Source organism: Homo sapiens, chromosome 12 (assembly GCF_000001405.40).
Source record: "Homo sapiens chromosome 12, GRCh38.p14 Primary Assembly".
In the NCBI taxonomy this organism is placed as follows: domain Eukaryota; kingdom Metazoa; phylum Chordata; class Mammalia; order Primates; family Hominidae; genus Homo; species Homo sapiens.
In genome coordinates this window covers 45,014,225-45,031,093 of record NC_000012.12, presented here as the reverse complement: position 1 = coordinate 45,031,093, position 16,869 = coordinate 45,014,225, and the positions used below count along the sequence as shown (strand labels likewise).

Sequence of the window (16,869 nt, the reverse complement as noted above, 5' to 3'; positions counted from 1 at the left end):
AGGTGAGCCCACAGACAAGAACCATCCCCCATTTGAGGAAAATTGACTCCAGGAGGGAGAGACACAGACTCAAGGTTTGAAATGAGCTACTTTTGAGGAAATAGTTAATAGAGGCTGATGATGTTGTAGCTAGCCTGTTGGAGAGGCCTGGATTAAACAAATGACCTCTTATCCCTTTCAGTTCTGAGAAGCTATTGAATCTATATAAAAGGATGAAAGAATTCTGTTTCTGAAAGTGTTATTGGTAGCCCTTGGCTTGAGTTATCCTGAAATAATGATATTTTTTACTAAAAGCCTTGAGAGGTTTAGATTCAGTGGTGCTTCATAGACTTACGCTATCATTTTCCTTACAAAGTTGGGGGATACTGAGTTATGAATTAGTTTTTAATATGGAAAAACTGTAAACTTAGAAAGCAAACCTTAAACAACATGGCTTGTTAGAAGTCACCTTTATATAGCACGCCTTGGCCTACCTCAGGGTAGCCCAGGTTGCGAGCAAAGGCTGGAACAGAACAGGAAACAGAGAGAAGGCCAGTGCCATGGCAGGTGCTGGAAGCTATCCTGGGGCAAAGAGTAGCACTGGACATGCATGATCCAGAAGCCTTTATAGAGCTTCTCGAAGCAATAGGTGAAAGGATATGGGACAAAGGAAGTGTCCCCGAGTGGTATCAATGATCCAGAGATTAACATGAGTTATTGGTGAGTCTAAACATCACACACATTACTGGCAAGCTGTTCACAGTATCAGATGCTTTTGAATTGCAGTGGTGTAGATAGACAGGCCAGAGCTGCAGCTATTTGCTCTTGGTCTGATGTTTAGAAAGTGACTGGATAAGGTCTGTCTTTGTTTGGTAGTGCTTGCTGGCTGCTACAAACACCATTGCCCTGTCTTCAGAGTTAAGTCATGATTTCCAGAAGTTGAGGCAATAGGGAGAGGCGATGATGATCACTAGATTGTCCAATGCTGTGTTTCTCTGTCTCCCCCAACCTCCCCTCCTTAACAATATCATGAACACACAGTGTACCTCCATTTGTAGCGCCCTTCACTGGGCCCTTCATACAGGGCTGCTGGGGAAGACGGCAATTAGGGAGCATGTCAGGATCCAGGGGATCCTGGAATCCAGGGAATCCAGGGAATCATGACTTTGAAAAGTTTTCTATCCCAGGTCATTCTTTATTTTTATTTATTTATTTATTTATTTATTTATTTATTTTTATTATTTTTTTTTTAAGATGGAGTCTTGCTCTGCCGTCTAGCCTGGAGTGCAGTGGCATGATCTCGGCTTGCTACAACCTGTGCCTCCCAGGTTCAAGCACTTATTCCTGCTTCAGCCTCCTGAGTAGCTGGGATTACGGGCACGCACCGCCACACCTGGCTAATTTTGGTATTTTTAGTAGAGACGGTTTCACCGTGTTGGCCAGGCTGGTCTCAAACTCCTGACCTCAGGCAATCTGCCCACCTCCGCCTCCCAAAGTGCTGGGATTACAGGCATGAGCCACTGCGCCCAGCCTATTCTGGGTCATTCTGCTATTTTAATGTAACTCTTGCCACTTTCCCACTTCTTTCCCTGCCCACTCGTACCTTTGACAATCTTTGATGTAATTTGACAAAGGCATTGATTTGCCTCCCTCTGCTTTGATGTGTGACTTTAATTGCACAACTTAACTTTCTAGAGCCTAGTTTTTTCCTGTAAACAACGAGGGTGGTAATTTCTTCTTCCAGGGATTGTTGTAAAGATTACATGACATAATGCATGTAGTTGGCACATATGTCAGCACATGTAAGCCCCAATATATGTGGAAGCTGCATAATAATAATATCCTCGAATTGATAGAGCCTGTAGCACCTTGAATTGGTGGCTCCAGCTTTTAAAGCCTCATTTCTGCTACATGCCTTATTCTCCATATCTGTTTCTTTTTATATTATTTATTTTTGTTTACCTGGAAGTCTCCATAAAAGTCAGACATTTGTCATAAATTTATGAATAGTTGGACATGTGTTTTGGAGACATAAAATTTAGGTGCTTATATGTATGTTTAGAAGGTATGAAAATGGTATGGGTTCATCAACGTGTTTGTGGTTGGATCCAGAGATTGCCCATAAAAGACTCATGGGTGAGCCATGGGAAGGAGCATCAATGGTGGTTTAGTAATAGCAGCATTGTCATATGCTTCTTGTAGGAACTGCATTGCATCACTTTATGAAAGCAAGCTTGATTTGTGTATTGGGACCAGTGCTAAGAGAAACCAGGCAACTAGTAAAGAAGGAAAGAATATAATATTCTTTACTTTTTGGTGTATTTTTTTGCTTGTCTATTGGTTGAGTTCTTGTTTGTTATAGGGCACTGAAACTTGAGGACCAGGCCCAGTAGTTAACCCTTTGACCCTTACTCCAGGTCTCACCTTTCAAGATCAAGGGCTAGTTTGGGTTCACGATGCCCCAAATGTTAATGTATATCACAGTGGTGAGAATAATTTATTTGTAGACTCTCTTAATGGGAATCTTCTTTTTCTTTACTTAAAAACAACTTATTAGGAAAACCTATGGGTTGCTATTAAAAGTTTTAGGGGCATTTAAATGAGTTTTATTTCCCCGCTATTTTATTTTAACATGTAGATCTTGGTGAAGAAGAGCCAAAATGAATAGAATCTTGGGACTTACTTATACAAATTCTACTTAGAAAAAAAAGGGTACATATTTTTTCTGTTACCATAAATTTGTTTTAGACTCTGTATATAGACATAAAAGGTTTTATTAACTCAGAGGACATTTGCCTTTCTAAAATGCTAGGTTGCTTATGTCCTTCTTGCAAGGCTTCCCTTCACAAGTTATAACCTAAACTTGTTTCAGACACCCTTGGCCCTAATCTGTGTTTCCAGCTTTTCTCCTGTGTTCTTTCCAGTCATACCCTGCAATCCAGAAACACTAGGTTGTGTGAGATTCTTAGATCTGCCATGTTTCACACTTGTCTTCACCTGGCTTCATGCCTCTGCAAATGCTAATCCCTCGACTCTACCTGCCTTTCCCTCGATTGCCAGCAAGAGGAATTGCTGTTCTTCTAGGTGCTGCTCTCTCTTGGACCTACTTTGCTGACCATCCTAACTCAGCGGCTTCTTATCTGGTGCACTAATGCCTTCTGTGCTGTAGTCTCATCCCACTGTATTGTGGCTGTCTGTATTATTCTTGGACTTTTTCTTATCGACTATGAACACCTTAAGGATGGATTGAATTCATCTTTGATTATCACTCAACAACAACTCAGTAACTGACTGGTTATTCCCAAAAAGGCTGCTACAATGCTTGCCTGTTTTCATTAGAAAATAGAACCAAACTTAAAACATGGACAGTGGAGACGAATTATTTGTCCAGAATGCTACAATGCAATAACACAATTCTGTGTTTGTTTTTGTCTTTTCAATTTTTTTCTCTGCATTTTTGCTTAGTTGTGAACATAATATATATCTTAAATATCATACTTTAAAAAATCATAATGTAAGTACTTTCTTTGCTGCTGCCTAATCTTCATCGTCCTCATCTTTAATGATTCACTAAAATTTTACCAAGTGAATTTACATATGCATTTCTTTACCAGTGGATATTTATTTTTTCTCCTAATTTTTAATACTTATTGCTGTAATAATTGTATATTGGATACATTTACAAATTAAGCATGCCAGAATGCAGAGGAAAGAGCCACTAATTTGAATTCAGAAGGTCTTGGTGCCAGCTTTGCTCTAAGTCCTTTGCGTGTCTTTGGACCTTGACTGCTCTGAACACGTCTTCATCTATAGTGAGGGATATCTGTGGCATATGATTCTTGTAAAGATCAAATAAAATACAACAATGGGAAGTGAAGTAGATTTGTGGGATCCTTAATGTGAGCTAAGCACTGAAATTTTGTTATCTTATTTCGTTGAATCTTGGGAGCAGCCTTATAAAATCAGCTGGAAGAGACCAAATAACTTGCCTTAAGTCATGCATGTAAGGGCTGATATCCAAACCAAGGAATGTTCAGAGAAGAAACGCACTTAGTAAAAAGATGCACATATTGAGATATTCAGAATATTTTTATTATTGACCAATATTTCATAAAACTGCTTAAATCCCTGATAAAGAATAGTGAATCTAGTTGTCAAAGTCTGACTTCAAGATATGATCTTGGCATGAGACAGGCAAAAATAATTAATGATGTAAAAGGGGAAATAACCAACATCCTATGTGAAGATGAATGGAAGGGCATCAATGAAAGTAGACCTTCATAGAGAATTGGGCTTGATGACATCTCAGGTTTATGGCAATTCAAAGGAGATACAGAGTTACAGAGCTGGAAGGAAAGAGGGAGAAGTTATTCGTTCGTTTTGCAGAGTGAGAATGAATTGTAATGAGATGTAACCCAGGGCTTAGCCAGGAGATGTTTGTAATCTTTTAGACAAATAGAAAAGGAAGCTATCACATTGTAGAAGCCAAGATTTGTTGACTTTTTCCTTCTAAAATACAAATCAGTTTATGCCAGTATTGTGTAGGGTTAGTACATTTGTTGTGGTATCTGTCTCCTGGGTTTGAAACCCTAGCTTTACCCTAGCTTTGTGACCTTGAACAAAGTTACTTAACCTTCCTAAGTTTCATTTTATTTCTGTAAAATGGAGAGAGTAATAGTAGCATTCATGCCATAGATTCAATGTGAGAATTAAATGAAATAATGCATGTCAGTGGCTTAACACAAAGTAAGCATTAACAGTGGTGTTCAGTGTATGTTTATTATTATGTCCTGCCCTGCTTCTATTGATCTTTGTTACCTACCCAAACCCTTGCAGTTCTCTATTAACTGACTCCATTCCACTTTAGAGGTCCAAATATCTTCAAAGGCCTGGCAGGTAAAAAGCAAGCTAAGCAAGGCTGTGGCAGACTGGAGCCACATGTTCCATCTAAAAAAGAGGCACCTGCTACTCACTCTGAGCCCAGTGTGGTTACCTTTGAAGAGGTGTCAGAAATCTGGACTTTATGTGAAACTTCCCGCTTTTTAAATGTGGACAACTAAATCAGAATTCTTAACCAACATGCTAAGACCAAAAAAAGCCCATTTGCAGGCTGGATATGGTTGCCCTCATGCAGCCTCTGCTTTATGCCTTTCCCCAGCCTTGATGACTGCTTACTTTTCCTTGGATAGACTTTATTCCTTGGGCTTTCAGACATACTAGTAACTGTTTGAATTGGCTTTGGTTCTTTCTCTCTTAAACGGTATTGTTCTTTTATACTTGACTCAACCTGACTGTTTTCTCCGAACTCATCATTTCCTCCTTTGTGATGCCAGTGCACTTTGCAGATCTTTCTATTCTAGTACTTATGACATTCATTTACTTGTTTATTCAGTAAATAATTATTAAGCACCAGAATGCATAGTAGCTGCCTTTCTGGTGCTATGTTACATAGTAGCTGCCTTCCTGGTGCTATGTTACAGAGTGAATGTTCATGGATCACCCCTCCCATAAGAAGGTGAGCTCCTTTAGGGTGGGAACTATGTGCTCTTTGTCTGGTTTCTTCAGCAATTGGCTCAGTGAGCCTGATACCCAGTGTATTAGTTTTCTATTGTTGCTGTAACAAATTACCATGAACTGAGTGTCTTAAAGCAACAGGTACTTATTATTTTATAGTTATAGAGGTCAGACCCTGAAATGGGTCTCATAGGGCTAAAATCAAGCAGGGGTGTGTTCTTTGTGTAGGCTCTGGGGAGAATCTGTTTCCTTGTCTTTTCCAGCTTCTTGAGGCTGCCTGCATTCCTTGGCTTCTGGCCTCTTCCTCCAACCTCAAAGCAAGAAAGTAGCATCTTGAAATCTCTCTCTGACTAGGACCTCCTAATTTGCCTCCCTCTTCCAATTATAAGGAATCTTATGATTACTTTGGGCCCACCTGGGTAATACAAGATACGCTCTTCATCTCAAGGTCAGTTGATTAGCAACTTTAATCTATTTGCAACCTTAGTTCCCCTTGCCATGTAACATAACATATTCACAGGTTCTGGGGATTAGGACATGGACATCTCTGAGAGCCATTACTCTGCCTGCCACACCTGGGAAGCAGAATGAGTGAATGAACTATGAAAGCCTGTAAACTCTCAGAGCATGGGAACCAGTATTGTGCTAGGCACAAAAAGGCAGAAAGAGTAGCAAATGTCTCTTACCTCAAGGGGTTGATGATCAATGGAATTGTAGGGGAGTAACTGAGAGCCCTTCAGTTCTCTCTTCTCTTCTCAGATTAAACATCTCTGACTTTTGCAAGCTTTCCCTATCCCAGGTTTATGTCAGACCCCTTGTTTTGTGTTCCCAAATCTCCCTCCTTAGGAATACAACACATTTGTGATGCTAGTTCAATAAATGCCCTTCCACCATATCTTACAGGTAATGAGAGCAATTAAACATACCTGTCTTATTTCTCAATGTGTAATATTGAGCAGAGTGTCTGGCATATAGTAAGTGTTCAAAATTTTGTTGAAAAAATGAATAAATAAACAAATGAAGAATTAGAGAAAAATGAAGTATTTAAACCACCTACTACTTAATCCGTATCGGGGCTTTGTAACCTGGGACCTTGGGCCTTGGGCCTTGATGTGGCATGCAAATTGGGAGGACAAGCAAATGTACATTTCCCCTACAATGGGGAGCAAAGAGTATTTATCAGATTCTCAGAGGAGTCTGTATTAGTCTGTTCTCATGCTGCTAATTAAGACATACCCGAGACTGGGTAGTTTATAAAAGAAAGAGGTTTAATTGACTCACAGTTCAGCATGGCTGGGAGGCCTTAGGAAACTGACAATCGTGGGAGAAGGGGAAGCAAGCATGTCCTTCTTCACATGGCAGCAGGAAGGAGAAGAATGAGAAGTGCAGAGCAAAGTGGGGAAAAGCCCCTCACAAAACCATCAGATCTCGTGAGACCTCATTCACTTTCATGAGAACAGCATGGGGGAACCACCCCCATGATTCAATTACCTCCCACGAGGTCCCTCCCTCAGCACATGGGGATTACAATTCAAGATGAGAGTCCATAGCCAAAAAGAAGTTAGGAAGTACTGCTTTAAGTGAGCAGAGTTGAAATGAGGTCATTTGGCCATAGTACAAAGTAGGAGGATACCATATTGTCCTAGGAAAGACTGACTTCTTTCTAAAGCTAACTGGGCTTTTGTATCTTTTTCCCTCGACTCTAGGAGAAGAGAGCATGCTGCCTCTCCTGACACAGGACTCTAATTCCAAAGCTCGGAGGGGCATTTTAAGAAGAGCTGTCTTTTCTGAGGACCAGAGAAAGGCTCTGGAGAAAATGTTTCAGAAACAGAAATATATCAGCAAAACAGACCGAAAGAAACTTGCCATCAACTTGGGACTAAAGGAATCACAGGTACTAATAAGCAGGAAGATGTCTACTGCCTCTGATTTCTTCTGAGATCAGATGAAATCAGTTGTGTTCAGGGTGGTGGGCCGTAGGCAACTGCTTCTGATTTCTTAAGGCACACAATGGAATCCATTTATTTAGCAAATATTTCTTATACCAGGCATGGTACTGGAGCCTGAGGTGTTCTTGAAATGCTTTTCATAATTTTTTAGTGGGTGGAGATGTATGTCCCATTTCCTATTGGAAATAGGTCCATTTGCTGAGAGGTCTAGGTTTTTGCCATTCTAGTACTTTATTTTCTAATGAAGAGAGATGCTAAGGATGTGGTAATTACATTATATAAATCGTTTCCTCTGTGTTCAGAGAAACAGGTAAATAATTCTTCAAAAAGTAGGAACCACTTTTACTATCTTTCTTTTCACTTCCAATCCAAAAATCAAACCATGAATGAGTGACTCATGAATACTTCCTAATGGGTTTCATGATTTTGTTATTTGGGTTTATGTCAAGTCCAATTAAGCAATTTCACATTTGCAACACTTACATACCTTTCTTGTTCATTGAGGTTTCATATAATTGTGAATGGGACTTTCTAGCTTTTGGAGTTGTATAATACTCCATTTAAAGTTTGGCCTACTTATTACAAATAATATCATAAGGCACTAGGAGTTTCCTATTTAACCCTCCTTATAATTGTCATGTGAAATACACACTATAATAATCCCCGTTTTCTAAATGGAAAAAGAAGAAACTGAACGTAGGTCCTATATCATGTAGTAAAGAGGTTTTGGAGGTAGGCTCCCACCTTAGACAGCTTAACTCTGGAGTTTGTGTTCTCTTTAACCTAAAAATACCATGTACAGTTGTGCATAGAGTTCACTGTACAAAGGCGTCTGGCCAAAAGGGATAGTGGCGGCTGAAATGCAGCATAAACTCTGTTTGCCAGATTGAGTTTTCTGTTGCAGGCCTACATCTGCCTGGATTTTTTGAATTAACATAAAGGGACTAAAGGGTTAGAGGAGGCTCTGTTCAAACCACCATGCTCTACTGTTGTTCCTCACTACAGATGACCTGGTGGTTAATTTTGGACCTTATTAAAACCAGTTATTGGCCGGGCGCGGTGGCTCACACCTGTAATCCCAGAACTTTGGGAGGCTGAGGTGGGCGGATCATGAGGTCAGGAGATCGAGACCATCCTGGCTAACACGGTGAAACCCTGACTCTACTAAAAATACAAAAAAGTTAGCTGGGCGAGGTGGCTGGCGCCTGTAGTCCCAGCTACTCGGGAGGCTGAGGCAGGAGAATGGCGTGAACCCAGGAGGCAGAGTTTGCAGTGAGCCAAGTTCATGCCATTGCGCTCCAGCCTGGGCGACAGTGCAAGACTCCATCTCAAAAAAAAAAAAAAAAAAAAAAACAGTTATTATTGGACTAAACTCTCCTTGACCCTAGGGAAGTGTCTTCACAAGCTGCTTGCCCCAACTTTGTCAAGTAGTAGGAAGCCGCACGAGGTGTGGTAGAGGGTAATTGGCCTACATTAGTCAGTCTGTGCTCTCCTCGCTGTGTGGTACTAATGAGTCCATAACCTCAATTGGTTGTTCTGTGCCTCAGTTTCTCACTTAAATAAAACAGAAACAAATATAGGAATTCTGTCTATATCACAAAGCAGTTTTGTGTATATAACAGATAAATCAGCAGCCAGATCTTGATGGTCTGTTGTGTGCAAGACACTGTGGTAGGTAGGCAATAACAGGGAGTATTGATAAATACTGAATAAGACACAGTCTGTGCACCTCAGAAGCTTCCACACCCCGTGGAAGCTCATAAAAAGTTTGATAAAACTATATAATAATATAGACAGTATCATGTGATAGGTTAGATATACTGCCCAATAAGGGGATCGGTAGTTCTCAAAGTTACTTATCTTTCTGAAGCCTTATGTTGATCCCCATCTCTGCAAAGGACAGCCGTGTGATTGGTCCATATACTACTCCTGGAAAGTCTAGTGGTGGAACTCTCTGATCTCAGAGGAGCTGTTGGGCCTGAGAGAGGACATGAGGGCAGCTCAGTGGGCCTGGCCTGCCACTCAGTGGTGTAAGAAGCTCCTGTAGTCAGAAGGGAGAAAACAGGCAGGTTTAGGAGTTTGGAGAGCCTCTGGTTGAGTTGAAACTTGAAGTAGGTGTCAAAAGATGGAAAGCAGTGGAACGTAGCTAAGTTCCATCTGACAGTGCTCTGAGAAATTGTGAAAATCTGTGATAGTACCTATTGTGGTCCCCAAAAGAGACTTTTGAAAAGACAATGCCACAGCCATATATAAAAATTATGGGGTATGACCACAATCTCTCCTCCTGCCTAAAAACAACTATTTTCCTATTTGTTTGCCATCTTGTGGTTCTTATCCATAGGCACATGGTTTTACATAGTTAATTATATTGTGTTTAAAATTCAGTGCCTCAGGAGTGAGTACTTTTTGTCTTATTGAATTTGGTAGAGCATCTCAGAAGTAATTTAACATTTTCTTATTTGTAAATATATCCATTACACAAATGTATCAATTACACAATTATATCAATTATAACATTACAATTACAATTTGTAAATATATCAGTCTTATTTGTAAATATATCAATATATCAGTTACAGCATCTCAGAAGTAATTTAACATTCTCTTATTTGTAAATATATCAATTACGTGGTATTTATTATGGTAAATTCAATTGAAAAGGAAACCTGTAAAGATAAAAGTGAAAACTCATCTTACTCTGCTGGAATCCAATTCCTTGGTTACTTCTGTCATTTACAAATGGCGCTTGTTTGAATTTTTGACACATCATGTATTATTTTAAAAATAAATTTATATGTGTGTTGTATATGCATGAACATATAATAACACAAACACTTGCATGCTTACCATGCGCCCTTACATTTGATGTCAATTAATCCTTACAAAATTTTTATGAAGTAGCTACTTTTACTACCTCTATTTCACAAGTGAAGAAGCTGAGAATTGTGTGTGTGTGTGTGTATATATATATATATACATATATATACATATACATACATAAAAATCTAATCATATTGTGCATGTACTTTGACATTTTCTAAAGAACAGTACAAATCACCTGTATATCCAGCTCACAGATCTAGCAGTAGAAGCCAGAAGATCCCCCAGGTATCCCCTCCCACTCACTATCTGCTCCTTCCAAGGGTATCCTCTATCCTAACTTCTAACTTCTTAGTTTTGCCTCTTTTTGTACTTTTATATAAGTAGTATTACTCAGTGTGTAGACAAAATGTGGTATATCCATATAGTGGAATATTATTTGCCCATAAAAAAGAATGAAGTACTTACTGATAATGCTACAATATGGATGAACCTTGAAAATATTATACTGAGTGAAAGAACTCAGTTACAAGGACCACATATTATATGATTCCGTTAATTTGAAAGTCCAGAATGGGGAAATCTATACAGACAGGAAGCAGATGAATCTGCTTAGGGCTGGGGGAAACAGGGAATAGAATAGAGATAGCTAAAGGGTGTGGGATTTCCTTTTGAGGTGATGAAAATGTTCTAAAATTGGTGATGGTTGCATTATCTGTGAATATATGAAAACCATTGCATTGTACATTTTAAATGGGTGAATTGTATGGTATGTGAATTATAGGCTCAATAAAGCTATTAACAAATTTAAAAAAGTATTCAGTAATTTATGTAAATAGAATCATATATGCTTCTTTTACTTAACAGTATGTTTGTGAGAATCTTCATGTTGTGTGTAGTAAAAGCTCATGCGTATTCCTTGCTGTGTAGTACTACCATTATGTAGTATACCACAATTCATCCATTTACCGATGGTGGGCATGTGTATTGTTCTCAGTTTTGGGCTATTGTGAATAATGCTACTGATAATGTGTATTGTTTGGTGCTTTTTTCCTTTTTGAATATTATGGATTGCTTCCTTCCATGTCAGTACATACAGATCTACTTCATTCTTTTTTGTCTTTCATAACAGACCATCATTTCACCATCGTCAATTTTAAGTTACTTCCAATTTTCACTATCACAAATTTTTATGCACTTTAAAAATATTTTGTAAGAGAGTGTGAGTGGGATTTATGTGTAAAAGTGTGTGTACATTTAAAATGTAGAAGATTAAAAATTCCTTTCCAAATACAATATTGTATCAAATTAGATACTGACATATGAAAATTTCACTCTTACTAACAAATAGTCCCTTTTTGCAAAAGCTCCACCATTTATGATTTTAAAAATGTTGCCACTCTCATGGGCAATGCTATTTGTTATTTTTCGATTTGAATTTTCCTAACTACCAGAACGTGAGGGGCTTTTATTTGTTTTATTGGCCATTTGTAGTCTGTGAATTGGCCTTTTCATGGCTGCATCTTTTTTTCTATCATATTGTCTTTTTATTGATATGTAGCAATACTTTGGCTGTTAGTCAAGAATTTTGGAATATTATGGTTAGTATATTTTTCCTGTTTCAGATGTTGCAAAAGTCCTTTCTAAGTTTGTGGCTTTTTTTTATTGAGGTAAAATATGCATAGCAGAATTTATCATTTTAACCTTTTTTTAAGTGTTCAGTTCAGTGACATTAAGTACACTGACACTGTTGTGAAACCATCACGACCATTCATCTCCAGAAATTTTTTCATCTTGTAAAACTGAAACTCTATCCATTAAACAATAACTCACCATTTCCCCCTCCCCCACCTCCTGGCACCCACTATTCTACTTTATGTTTCTATTAATGACTATTCTAAGGCTCTCATATGAGTGGAGTAATATGGCATTTGTACTTTTATCCTGGCCTGTTTTACTTAGAATAATATCCTCAAGGTTCATTTCTGTTGTAGCATGTGCCAGAATTTCCTTCCTTTTCAAGGCTGAATAGTATTCCTTTGTATGTATATACCACATTTTATTTATCCATTTATCTGTTCCTAGATGCTTGGTTGCTTCCCATTTTTGGCTATTGTGAATAATGCTGCTGCGAATATGGGTGTACAAATATCATTTAGATTTCTTGCTTTTAGTTTTGTTGGGTAGTTTTTGGCTTTTTCATATGTTTGTACAGAAATTTCTCATTTTTATGTATTCAGCTCCTTTTTATCTTTTCCATGTATCCTCTGTTTTATGTCATGCTTATGAAAACATTCGTTTCCCCAAGACTATCATGATAATCTCTATTTTCTTTTAAAACTTTTGCAGTTTCGTTTTTATATTTAGCTATTTAATCTATCTGGAATTTGTTTTTGCATTTCTTGAGAGGTAGAACTTTTATGTTACTCCCCAAATATGCATTTGTCTCAACACCATTGATTGTGAGGAAACTCCTTTTATGTATTTTTTCTTTGAGATATCACTTGACAACAAATATTTATAGATATACAGAAAAGCTAAGAGAAGAGGAAATAACAAATGTGATGACAAAGGCAAGAATCACTAATGAAAACAAAAAACTGTCTCAGTGAAAACCCATTAGAAATACTTGGCATGCTTTCTAGGAGTAAATGCCCACTGCAAACAATAAATGAGTTAATGAATAGAACCAAGTACTCTGGTATGTACACATTAGTTCTGTTTTCGTATGAAAAGCCTTAATCATGGTGTTGTAACTGAGATGACAGTCTTTTGCACTGAATTGCCTGGGGTAGATTTTTTTTGTTGCCATTTTGAACATTGCCAATCAAGTAAAAAGAATGAAGAAATTGTTTTGCCAATCTGGAATGAGAGCCTTAGATAGAATTTTTTTCTTCACTGAGAGAAATACTTGGTTGATATGCTATAATAATTATTTCTTTGGGTAAAAATTTTCTAGTTTTTGTTTTAAAAATAGAAATCAACTAAATTGTTAGTGTAAGGATGTGATGCAATACACAGGAAAAAACATGATTGGCTTTTAAGATTCCAGGAAACCAGTTGTGAAGTTTTCAGCTCAGGCACAGTTGACTACACAGTGTATAAAGAGGGAGGTTTGTAATAAAGACTAACCTCTTTTGGGTTGGAGGAAGATATGGTTCAAATTAGGAACCACCATCATAAGCACTTTTGGCTTAATTACAATTAGTTGTTATTTATTGAGCTTAATTCTTACAGTTTGATAAATCCTGGGAGTAATCAAGACTTGGAAACTGTATAAAGCCTGCAATTTATCAAAGCATTACAAAATGGATTCTTAATTTAGTCTCAGAAAGCTCCTGATGAGGTCTGATTGTTTATAAGAGCCTGGACCCTGGAGTCAGACAATCATGGATTCTAGTCTCAGTGCTTCCATTTCACTAGCTTTGTGACCATAAGCTAATGTCTCCAAACTTCAGTTTTTTTAACATGTGAAATGAGGACTTCTTACAGCCATTGTGACGATCAAATTATAAAATCTATCCCGAGTGCATAGCCTGATGCCTGGCACAAAATAAACACTCAGATGCTAATACTAGCCCATATATTTCCTTTGAATAAATAATTCAGCACAGACTAGATGATGTTTTAAAATATATAAGAGTTAAATGAATTTTGAAAGCTATCAGACTTACAGGGTGTAACCAACTTATCACAGTTGTTTTGTTTCAAATGTGTGTATGGGGATATTAGATTAAGATATTTTTGGCAGGGCGTGGTGGCTCACACCTGTAATCTCAGCACTTTTGGGGGCCAAGGCGGGCAGATTGTTTGAGCTCAGGAGTTCAAGACCAGCCTGGGCAACATGATGAAACCCTGTCTGTACAAAAAAAATATAAAAATTAGCCGGTTATGGTGGTGCATGCCTGTCATCCTAGCTACTCAGGAAGCTGAGATGGGAGGATTGCTTGAGCCTGGGTGGCGGAGGTTGCAGTGAGCTGAGATTGCACCAGGGTGACAGAGAGAGACCCCATCTCAAAAAAAATAATAATAAAATAAAATACAATGGGATATTTTTGAAGGAGCCCATGTGAAAAGCCACAAGGACTTTTTGAGGTTGGCTGTCATAATAAGGTATTCTGTAGAAGGGATAGTAGAAGCAATTACAGTTTAAAATGCTGAAGTAAAATAACCTGGAATAAGTGATCATTTTGTGCAATTATTTTGTCAATAGGTGAAAATTTGGTTTCAGAACAGGAGGATGAAATGGCGGAATTCCAAAGAAAAGGAAGTGCTTTCCAACAGGTGTATCCAAGAAGTAGGTCTTCAAGAGGATCCCCTCTCACGGTCTGCTCTGGGTTTCCCTTCTCCATGTCCTTCAATATGGGACGTCCCCCAACAGCACTCAAGTCCAAGATGGAGGGAGAATTCTCCAGAACCTTCAGAAAGACTAATCCAGGAGAGTTCAGGGGCACCACCCCCAGAAGCAAATTCACTGCAAGGTGCCTTATATTTATGTTCTGAAGAAGAAGCTGGAAGCAAGGGTGTACTTACTGGGGCTGTCTGAATGGAAGCATTCCTCCGTGTTCATTTAAAAGAACGCTTAATAGTAACATCTGGACTCTAATGCCAGCTAGCTTGTACCTCATCAGTGCTTAGAGCCTAACAACTTTGGAGCGATGTATGAACTAATGCTTTAGGAAACCCACTCTAGTGTTCTCTTGTTTGGCCCTAGACTCAGGCTTAATTTGTAAGTGGAATAGAATCTCCCAGCAAGTATGACAGAACTGAAAAGAAGGAGAGCAACAGCTGGCTCGGTCCCTGCTCTGAGTATGTGTATATATGTGTTTGTCTCTATGTGTGTGTATATACATAAATATCCATTAAAATGTATTAGTAGAAACTAGTTTCTCTTTAACTATTGCATTGAGTAAATTCACTTCCTTTTATGTGAAGAAAACTACCATTGACAGAATGTTATTAACTTTTTGAAAATAATGTAAAATTTGGACTTTAGTGCAAACTTTCATACCCCAAAAACATGTTTTTAAAAATTCTCTATTTTCTGACTTCTTTTGGTATCCAGCTGTAAGTGAATTTTAACACCTTAGCTCAGCAGTCCTCAACAAATGAGCCACTGCTAGATACATACACTGAGAATATATATTTAAAATGAACCTAACAAGCAAATTAGAAGAATTTCTGTATATAACTATTAGTATCCTTAATCTCCAAGTCTCTGGACCATCGGGCCATCATGAGGGAGAGACCCATTTAACTAATAATTATTTTTTGATCTCTTCTCTGTAAAGATGGGCCTAGACCAGGGTTTGCAAAATAAAATGCCTTTAAGAGCCTGTCAGGTAAATAGAGGGTATGGCCCACCCAGAGATATTTGAGTCAAGTAATTTTTCAAATACTGTATTGGCCAAACAAAATGTCTATGCCAAGAAGTTTGTGACCTCTGGCTAAGACTAAAGAAAGCCGTGGTGTCACAGTTCTTAAAATTTTTCTAACTGGACTTAAAACCACAATACTAACAGAATCAATGATGATTTCTGTTTGCGCTTCTAGTTAGGGACTCAATTTTCCACTTAGGTGGCATACACTTTATATATCAGGTTATTTTTATGTATTAACAAACACCACACAGATGTTTTGTGTTTTTTGACTACCCTGAAATTGTATCTTTCTAAAATTGCATTTCTGGTAACGATTTGCTGAGTTAATCCAGAAGTTTTTACTCCAGGACCAAGAAGAAATTATGTTTCACTTTGAAGGAAATGAAACAAAAATAGGAAATGATGTGGTTTTGCATTAAACTCTTATCAATCTGTGGACAAGAAACACTATCAGAAGTTCATTAAGTGGCATTTTGTTAGTGAGTAAGCTGCATAATGATGGTGGCTTCTAATTTGCTGAACTCCACTAGAGTCTGAGAAGTTAACGTCTTTTGAGGGTTTAGTGTTTAGAAAAGATATTTCAGGAGATAACGGTTTTAATCAACAGCAGGAAATTATTTTGTACGAATAGAATTGGACTTGGTATGTCAACCTGTGTCTTTACCACATGATCTTTTACTTAAAAGTCATTTTAGAAGTGTGTCTCAGTGCCTCATTGTGGGGAATGGGAGCAGGGATCTGCTGACAAAAGTTAAAATTTAAAACCTGTCTTAAAATGATTTATAGTATGGTTTCTATTCTTATAATGTTAACCTCATTTACATTTATAGGGTACTTCCTATGTGCTAGAGACTGTGCTAAGCATTTAGGGTGGATTAGCTCATCTAATCCTCATGGCAATAACCCTATGATGTAGACGGTAATTACTATCAGGATTCCTGTTACCCAGACAAGGAAACTAAGGCAGAGTATGGTTGGGGTGATAATCCAAGATCATTAAGTTAATAAATGGGATTTGAACCCTGACACTCAAGTTTTGAATCTTGGAATCTTACCAACCATGTGGGGATTGCATACCAGTGTGATGTATTCACACAGCTATGGGATGCATTGTAAGAGATACATTTTGCGGATTGCAGTGAGACTTATTAAAGAAATTCAGAAGATTTACCATCTTACTTGGGGAATGATTTTATCTTCAGGATTGTCTTTTCTATTAGATTTTG

At 38.0% G+C, this 16,869-nt stretch overlaps 1 protein-coding gene across 1 annotated transcript in view; it reads left to right on the top strand.

The window, feature by feature from the left end:
- The window catches only part of DBX2 (developing brain homeobox 2), a 36,428-nt gene extending 20,006 nt beyond the window's left edge, over positions 1-16,422 (top strand). Inside the window, exons 3-4 of the mRNA NM_001004329.3 lie at positions 7,200-7,387; positions 14,476-16,422. Coding sequence (NP_001004329.2) covers positions 7,200-7,387; positions 14,476-14,808 — 521 coding nt within the window. The 3' untranslated portion in view covers positions 14,809-16,422. The remainder of the gene's footprint in view (positions 1-7,199; positions 7,388-14,475) is intronic.
- The last annotated feature ends 447 nt before the right edge of the window (positions 16,423-16,869 follow it).